Source organism: Homo sapiens, chromosome 2, assembly GCF_000001405.40.
Source record: "Homo sapiens chromosome 2, GRCh38.p14 Primary Assembly".
NCBI lineage: Eukaryota > Metazoa > Chordata > Mammalia > Primates > Hominidae > Homo > Homo sapiens.
Genome location: NC_000002.12, coordinates 130,210,296 through 130,220,380, shown reverse-complemented (window position 1 = coordinate 130,220,380; position 10,085 = coordinate 130,210,296). Strand labels below are relative to the sequence as shown.

At 41.8% G+C, this 10,085-nt stretch overlaps 1 pseudogene; it reads left to right on the top strand.

The window, feature by feature from the left end:
* RHOQP3 (ras homolog family member Q pseudogene 3) lies at window positions 6,572–9,502 on the top strand (annotated as a pseudogene).

The following is a 10,085-nucleotide window of genomic DNA, read 5'->3' as shown; positions in this document are numbered from 1 at the left end:
CACAAGCCTGCTCTCCAAATACCCCCACTCTGGGAGACTGACTAGCTCCCAAGTTGGAACACAGAGTTCTCAAGCTTGTTGCTTTGTAGGTGACACCAACAGAGGAACTTCTGCCTGATGTTCTATCTGCTAACTCCGAAATCAGAGTCTGGAAAGAGTAATCTTGCCTTGCTTATTTAGTCAAGGATACCTCTCTTCTTGGTACTGCTATAGAGGGATGTAAATGCCTCTTCTTCACAGTTGACTTCGGTAGCTGGGAAATACGACAATATCTCTAAATATTTATTTGTATGTAACACAAAACTCCTGCAAAAGAATAAGAGATAAACAGGCAGAGGCTGTTCTGCCTTTTTATACTGAGCCCCCAAAGAAAAACCTGTGGTGTCATGCTGGGCAGAATTTTGTAACTATTTTGACCAATAGAGTATAATGGAAGTAATGCCATGGTGCCCTCCAAGATCGATAGTAAGAACACCTTGCACTTCTGCCTTGCCTACTTAGGACATTTGTTCTTAGAACCCATCTGCTATACATGCTGTGAGGAGGACAGAATAACCCGTGTGCAGAGGCTGTGCAGAGGCAGTTTGGCCTGTAGTCCATCTGAGGTCCCAGCCAATAATCAGCATCAACTACCAGGCATGTGAATGAAGATACACACAGGTGATTCCTGTTCCCAACTGCTGTCACACCTAAACTTTGAGTCTTCCAAGCAAATGCCCCAGATGTGGCATAGCAGACATATAAGCAGTCTGCCCTGTGTCCAGACTAAACTCCTGACCCATAAAATCTGGGAATACAAATGTTGTTATTTTAATACAATTGTATGGCACTGAGATTGGGGTGGTTTGTTATGCAGCAATTATAACTGGAACAAGAACACTTGACCCTGTAAGACACTTGAAATTATATGAGTTATGACATCAGTAAAGTATCTTTTCTTATCTACACTTTCTGTTGTAACCACAATGCATATGGATAATTTGTGAAGTGAATAAGGACATGGTGAAGGACTGATTCCAAGTGGCTGGGAGAGGGAAGGGTGTGCTGCATGAATTTCATGTTCTTAGATACTAGTGAGAAGAGGCTGTAACACATTAATCACTCCCCTTCTCTCACTCATACAATGGTAGCACTAGTAGCACATTATCTTTTCTTGTGAAAGTGTTGCATTAAGAAATTTCTTTTGGAGTAGCCCCCAAACTGTAACAGAATGTGACGTGATAATTTCCCACCGTCTTCAAGTACTGCCAAGATGTAGAAGTCTCCTTACTCCTTGTAGACAAATGGTTGCTCCTTGGAGGGGCCTATTTGAATTTTTTTTGTTTTGTTGGTCTTTTTTTTTTTTTTTTGAGACAGGGTCTCACTCTGTTGCCCAGGCTGTAGAGCAGTGATGCAACCACAGCTCACTGATGCCTCGGCCTTCCAGGCTCAGTTCCTCCCACCTCAGCCTCCTGGGTAGCTGGGAATACAGGCATGCACCACAAAGTCTGGCTAATTTTTTGTAGTTTTTCATAGAGATGAGGTTTCCCCATGTTGCCCAGGCTGGTCTCGAACTCCTGGGCTCAAGCTGTCCACCCACTTCAGCCTCCCAAAGTGAGCCACCTTTCATCTCCTCATCTCATCTTATGACTCTGTGCTTGAACTGGTGTATTTAAAGATTAAGGACCTTTCTGACCAATGTCAAATGAACCATCCAGATTGTTCTGGCTCTCAGAAAGATCAGAGGCAGTCTGAATAGCAAGTAAGGATCAAGTCAACCACCAATTCACCAAACAAAGCCAAAACATTGGCGTCAAGGAATAAGCCAATTGCTGACATAAGTACCTGCTGCCCCAGAAGTTACTTGTTTCAACTATTTGAGTTCAGCACATTATCGCAATTCTAAATACTTAAGGTATCTTCAGCAAGTGAATGCAACTTATAACTTGTTCTTCCATCCTCGGGTAAGTGGGGGAACCATTTGCCATTTTCAGAGTAAATTCATCTGAGTTAGAAGGAAGCCCCTATAACATCAACAGAAAGCAAATTCTATAGTTAAGTCTCTCAACCATTAAATTTTAGGATTATATTCTAGTGGTACTTCTTAGAAAAAAGAAAGAAAGTTTCACCTATGAGATAAATTAGAGGACAAAGTGTTACTTCCTGTCTTCTTGCAATCTTGGCCGGGCACCGTGGCTCACGCCTGTAATCCCAGCACTTTGGGAGGCCGAGGCGGGCGGATCACGAGGTCAGGAGATCGACACCATCCTGGCTAACACGGTGAAACCCCGTTTCTACTAAAAATACAAAAAAATTAGCTGGGCACGGTGGCGGGCGCCTGTAGTCCCAGCTACTCCGGAGGTTGAGGCAGGAGAATGGCGTGAACTCAGGAGGCGGAGCTTGCAGTGAGCCGAGATCGCGCCTCTGCACTCCAGCCTGGGCGACAGCGAGACTCCGTCTCAAAAATAATAATAATAAAATATAAAAATAAAAAATTGTCTTGACCATCTTGGGGTGAAACAGCTGGAGATTAAAGGAAGAAATGGCTGCCGAGCACAGTGGCTCACGCCTGTAATCCCAGCACTTTGCGAGGCCGAGGCGGACAGATCCCGAGGTCGGGAGATTGAGACCATCCTGGCCAACATGGTGAAACCCCGTCTCTACTAAAAATACAAAAATTAGCTGGGCATGGTGGCGTGTGCCTGTAATCCCAGCTACTCGGGAGGCTGAGGCAGGAGAATCGCTTGAACTAGGGAGTCAGAGGTTGCCCTGAGCCGAGATCGCACCACTGCACTCCAGCCTGGTGACAGAGCGACACTCCATCTTAAAAAAAAAAAAAAAAAAAAAAAAAAGAGCGGGGGACGGGGGCGGAGGGGGGTGGGGAAGAAATGGCAAGGCTCTGGGAGGAATAAAAAGAAAAAAAAAAAAAAAAAAAAAAAGAAAGAAAATAACCAGAATTATATCTTTGTTAAACGAGGGGCCAAAACCAGAAAGCTTTGTACAAGGTTTTGTGTCTTGGCAGCAAGCATTGCCCTTACAACATAGAATGTCATTGCAATCATATGGTATCAGTAACCAATGAATTACGGCCAGAACACCTAGGACCTGTTCTTCTAGACTTTAGATGTGAGTTCTCCTTCTCACAAATCTCAAATGCATGTTCATTCTGAACACTGGCTGGTTTTTTTGACCCTTTTTGCTGACCTGAGAGGGTTATATAGCTAGAGTAAGACTGAAACTATTGCCTGGAACATCCCTCAGAGTGGCCAAAATATTTCCTTTATGACCATAAAGCAATTCCAATTCACATTGCTTTCTGTAATAGAGCTTTCCTTTCCTTCCTTCCTTCCTTTCTTTCTTCCTTTCTTTCTTTGTTGACAGAGTCTCCCTCTGTCGACTAGGCTTGAGTACAATGGTGCTATCTCGGCTCATTGCAACCTCCGTCTCCTGGGTTCAAATGATTCTCCTGCCTCAGCCTCTGGAGTAACTGGGATTACAGGTGCACGCCACCATGCCTGGCTTGATTTTGGGGTTTTTAGTAGAGATGGGGTTTCACCATGTTGGCAGGCTGGTCTCAAACTCCTGACCTCAGATGATTCACCTGCCTCAGCCACCCAAAGTGCTGAGATTACAGGCATGAGCCAGGCATAAGCCAGTGCCCAGCCTGTAATAGAGCTTTCTGGACTACTGAGTTCTACAGTATTTTCCTGTATGATTATTTTCAATTTCTGTCTCAACACTTGAGGTAGGCTCTTTCAATAAGGCCCAAACACACTACCAATTAATAGCATTATGCTGTGCTTCTGATTTAAACTTTGGTCCCAGAACCCAGAAATGGGAGCCTGTGTCTATTATCTGTCTCATTTTTAGTGGTCTTTGTGGTCTGCATGGTGAAGATGTAAAAGCTTTAACTAAGATGTAGGAATGGAGAAAAGAAAACCAGGAGAGGACTTGCTTACATTCTAAAAGTGGGTTGTAGGGGAAGAGGAAGCAAAGCTGAGACTTCTGAGTAACTGGACTTATGCTAAGATGCCTAACTGAGGTGGGGGATGATTTAGTTTTGGATGGTTACATGGTAAACTAAAGAAAAATAGTATTGAAGTGAGACAAACATCTAAAAGCTTTATAATACCTTAATTTGATTTTTTAAAAATTATACTTTAAGTTCTGGGGTAAATGTGCAGAATGTGCAGGTTTGTTACATAGGTATACATGTGCCATGGTGGTTTGCTGCATCCATCAACCCATCATCTACATTAGGTATTTCTCCTAATGCTATCCCTCCCCTAGCCCCCCACCCCCAACAGGCCCCAGTGTGTGATGTTCCCCTCCCTGTGTCCATGTGTTCTCATTGTTAACCTCCCACTTATGAGTGAGAACATGCAATATTTGGTTTTCTGTTCCTGTGTTAGTTTGCTGAGAATGATGGTTTCCAGCTTCATCCATGTCCTTGTAAAGGACATGAACTCATCCTTTTTAATGGCTGTGTAGTATTCCATGGTGTATATGTGCCACATTTTCTTTATCCAGTCTATCATTGATGAGCATTTGGGTTGGTTCCAAGTCTTTGCTACTGTGAATAGTGCTGCAATGAACAAACATGTGCATGTGTCTTTATAGTAAAATGATTTATAATCCTTTGGAAATGTAAATCCTTATAATCCCAGTAATGGGATTGCTGGGTCAAATGGTATTTCTTGATCTAGATCCTTGAGGAATCACCACACTGTGTTCTACAATGGTTGAACTAATTTACAGCTTCACCAACAGTGTAAAAGTGTTCCTACTTCTCCACATCCTCTCCAACATCTGTTGTTTTCTGACTCTTTAATGATCACCATTCTAACTGACATGACATGGTATCTCATTGTGGTTTTGATTTTTTAAAGAATTCTACATTAAACATCTTGATGAATTACTAAAGGAATTTCTGTTGGTAAGAGAAAAAGCATGACTACTTTCACTGAGAGTATTCAGTACTGTTCAGGTTTTATTCCCAGTGCAATATGACAGGAAAAATGAAATATACATATTAGAATGAAACATCAATTACACAGCCACTGATATAATTTTCAGAAAATGAAATTAAAAATTAATAAAAACAATGAGTTAAGAGGACAGATAAAAGATAAAATGAAACTCAAAAGAATTCTCATGAATCAAACTGAATCAAATTGAATTTGTACAAGCAAAAAGTTTCTATTCACATTGAAAACTCTAAAATATCTTGATATGCACTTAGAAAAAGTGAGCATTCCCTATGCAGATAAATCTACAGAATGTTACTTGGACTACAAGAGTTAGTTAATGGAGAGACATCATCTGACTAGATGAGAATATCCAGCATTATTTATATCTTGATTATCTCAGCCTCCTCCAAATTAAATATGTTTAATACAATTTTAATCAAATTATTGTTTTTTTTTCTTCGAACGTCAGTGCTTGACTTCAGATTTCTTTTGGAAGAAAAATGTATACGAATACCTTATATTCGATAAGAATGTGAAAAGATTTGCTCTACTATGTATCAAAAAATGTAAAGCTAATCGAAACAAAATTGAGGGAAAAGCTATATTATAAATATTGATTAAAATCATTATAAAAAGCTTCTGCAATGGAATTACTATTCCATGGCAAAGCATTTCAACAGACAAGTCACAAAAAAAGAAAGAAGAGTAGGCTCTTCAAATGAAAAGCTGCTCAACTTTCTTCCCACAACAAAGATGTGAAACAGATAATTAGGGTTTGATCATTGGTTCTTTTGTTTTGTTTTGTTGGTTTCTCTTTTACATATAAGAGGTTTAACAATTTGACACCCAGTGTCTTTAAGACAGAAATGTCACTTATGTCAGTGTTAATGTAATTTTGGAGGAACAAACATTGGGTTGTATCTATAAAGTGTTCTTAGTTTTTTTGTTTGTTTGAGATGGAGTTTCACTCTTGTTGTCCAGGCTGGAGTGCAATGGCACGATCTCGGCTCACTACAACCTCCGCCTCCTGGGTTCAAGCGATCCTCCTGCCTCAGCCTCCCCAGTAGCTGGGATTATAGGCGCACACCCTGACGCCTGGCTAATTTTTGTATTTTTAGTAGAGACGGTTTCACCATGTTTGCCAGGGTGGTCTCGAACTCCTGACCTCAAGGTGATCTGCCTGCCTCGGCCTCCCAAAGTGCTGGGATTACAGGCGTGAGCCACCGTGTCTGGCCAAAAGTGTTCTTAGTTTTTGACCTAGCAATTCCACCTGTAGAATTTTTTTTTCTATAAAACAGACATATATAAAGATAAAAGATAGGCTGGGCACAGTGGCTTATGCCTGTAATCCCAGCACTTTGGGAGGCTGAGGTGGGCGGATCACCTGAGGTCAGGAGTTTGAGACCAGCCTGATCAACATGGAGAAACGCCATCTCTACTAAAAATACAAAATTAGCTGGACGTGGCGGCGCATGCCTGCAATCCCAGCTACTTGGGAGGCTGAGGCAGGAGAATCACTTGAATCCAGGAGGCGGAGGTTGCGGTGAGCCGAGATTGTGCCATTGCACTCCAGCCTGGACAACAAGAGCGAAACTCCACAAAAAAAAAAAAAAAAAAAGATGCTTATGATCCGGCGGATCCTCTCCTGGGGAGACCAGGCCGGGGAGAGGGCGCGGGCGCCCAGTGGCGGGGGCAGCGGGCAGGCGCAGCGACCGGGGCCGGGGCGGGGATCCTGGCGGCGACCGCCGCGGCGGCAGCGCCCCGGGCCCGCCGCCCCCTCCCCTCCGGCGAGGGGAGCCGCTGGATGGGGCCGGTCGGGGGGCGGCCTGCGGCGCAGAGCGGCGGCGACGGCGGCGGACTCCCCAGGCGGGCTGGGGCTGAGCCCGGGGACCGGGGCGGGGGCTCCGGGGGGACCATGCCCGGAGGCCGGCGGGCAGCAGCGTGGCTCACGGGCCTGGCGCGCTGATGCTCAAGTGCGTGGTGGTCGGCGACGGGGCGGTGGGCAAGACGTGCCCACTCATGAGCTATGCCAACGAAGCCTTCCCGGAGGAGTACGTGCCCACCGTCTTCGACCACTAAGCAGTCAGCGTCACTGTGGGGGGCAAGTAGTACCTCCTAGGACTCTATGACACGGCCGGACAGGAAGACTATGACTGTCTGAGGCCTTTATCTTACCCAGTGACCGACGTCTTCCTTATATGCTTCTCGGTGGTAAATCCAGCCTCATTTCAAAATGTGAAAGAGGAGTGGGTACCGGAACTTAAGGAATACGCACCAAATGTACCCTTTTTATTAATAAGAACTCAGATTGATCTCCGAGATGACCCCAAAACTTTAGCAAGACTGAATGATATGAAAGAAAAACCTATATGTGTGGAACAAGGACAGAAACTAGCAAAAGAGATAGGAGCATGCTGCTATGTGGAATGTTCAGCTTTAACCCAGAAGGGATTGAAGACTGTTTTTGATGAGGCTATCATAGCCATTTTAACTCCAAAGAAACACACTGTAAAAAAAAAAAGAATAGGATCAAGATGTATAAACTGTTGTTTAATTACGTGAGAAACATCTTCAGTGGCCAAGGAAACTGGCCATTTCTCTGAGAAAGCAAATGAAATGCTACAGCTATACCCAGACCTTTTATAGGTAATGAAGCAGTTCAAAACTTGAAAGAAAACAAAACCTGTCCCCAGAATTCCATAAAGTTTATTAAGAATGTTCCTTAAAGGTTTAAGAAGCAGTAAGCAGTATCTGAAGCCACAATCTACTATAAATACTTTATTTCAACTAGAAGGTACAATCTCTCAGGGGTTTCATAGTTTAAAAAGCTACAATCACATCATGTAACTACGTAAAAAACAGAGCTGTAAATGGAACTGCTTGGCTTTGACCATACACATTTCTGCACAGCCCTTACAGAATCTGCACAAAGAAATATCTCCCTTTGTTCCAGTTAATTGTTCTTGTATGTAAGTTGCTTTCTATTCCAGTATATCCAGAGTGGTGAAATAACAAGGCCAGCCACATAGCCAAAGGTCGCTCCAAGCGTACAGGAGATGGGCCATACCTGAGGAGAGAATGTATGAGATCAAAAAAGAACAAATGTTTTATTATTACTTGAGCACAAGTGTAACCTAAATATTTCTATATTAAAGCTTAATGTGCTTTCTTAAAGAATGCCTAAAGTGTAATAAGGTCATAACTGCATTTATCATGAACACTAAAAATGTACACATTTTAGTTAATGTGCATTAAACTGTAACAAGGCTTCGGGCAATTGTAGATTTAGTTTGACGCTCCCCAAAGTGCATGAGACACATGCTAAAATTACAAATTAAAATTTTGGGTCAGACTTTGCCATAATGCTGGACTCAATTTAGCTCTCTGAACTAGATGGTAATTTTTTTTTAATTCCCACTTTGGCTGTGTACATCAAATGAAATGAGAAGTGTGTATGCTGACCAAACCACAAGAAACTTTAAGTTGTGTTAAAGAGGAAAGACCTAGAATCCAAGCATGTTACATGAAAATTGTAACAGAGCAGCTGCTTCCACCTTTCAGATATAGATGTTGGGACCACAGCAGAAGTTATAGAGCGAGAACTTATATACACACCTAGAATGTAAGTTAAACAAAATACCGGCTTCCGGAGACCCATTTTCTCCAGCCATATTACATTAGGCTAGAAGTAATTAATGTTGATTTATTTCATCTACAAGCAGTTGGTCCCTAAGTGACAGGCTCTGCTTCAAAAAAAAAAGTTGGAGAAAAATTTTCATGTTCTTCTGTGAAGCTTATTTGGTACACTGGAGCCTTTTCTAATCTTTCTCTCGGGGGAACAGGCTGCAGAACTGTGTTAGAGGTGAACCATCTTAATTACTAGTTCTATTACCTAATTCAGCTTCCTTGTTTGGTCTGCTGTGGATCTGCCTTATTGCATATGCCATGCATCAGATAATGGTGTTAGACAAAGCTTCATTGTGAACAACCTAATGCATTTTAGAGAAACAATCTCATCTACACATTTTTTTCTAGCCTTTCCTACATTTAAACTTGCTGTTGCCTAAATTATAATTTTTTAAATGTCTTTGGTGGGCTTCTGTTAATTCATGTGACTTGAGCTTATAGCTATGTCTACTGCACAGATTGGGTAATGGAACACTAAACTTTTATACTTGAAAATGACAGCCTTAAATGCTCATATCAGTCACAAATCTAGGATGTACTGTCTTGTTGTATGTGAGCTTTGTAGAGATTTGTAAAAATATAAGCATCACCTTCGCACTGAAGAGTGGAGAGAGTCTACTGGATGACTGGCCAGGAACTTTCTCTCTGAATTGGACATTTGGATGTCTTCTTTCTTCCAAGAAATGGTGGTTCACATTAAAGTATCATGGCCTTATGTATGCTCAAATGGAATCTTATGTAAGTTTCTTAATTTAATTTTGGTCTGCTATTTTTAGATAAAATTGAAAGGAATTGTATAAATCAATTAACATATTAGCTAAGTTGTCCAACACATGTTATAAATGAATTACAACAGTAAACTATTATACATTTCCAAAAAAAAGATATATTGCACAATGTTCACTGCTATATAGTGTACAATATCAAAAATTGGAAACTATCTTATATATTATAATTTATTTCAGTTATGAGTGGTAGAAAAACCATTGTAGCTCTTGTCAAAACCTGCATAGGCAGTCTAAGGTAAATATAACACTTGATTTTATCAGGGCCCAGGTTCCTTCTGTCTTGTGGCCACTGTATGAGCCGCAACCCCAAGGTGGAAGATGGCAGTATATGTTTATACACAGCAATGAGGAAGGGAGATAGGAAAGCAAAGTGTGTCCCTTTAGGAAAGATCTTGGAATCTGCCATGCCATATTTCTACTACATCCTGTTACTAAGAACTTAGGAACATGATTGCACCTTTATTGGTAGTCTTTATTCTGGGCAGCCATCTGCCTAGCTTAAAATGTGGAGGGTCCATTACCATAGAGGAAACAGAGAATGAATTTTAGCAAACAACTAGTGGTTTCTGCCACATGACTAAATGACCAACAAGGAAACATATTACAAGACATCATACAATTAACCTCTATTCAGTTGTTACAGACTCAAGCAACTCTACAT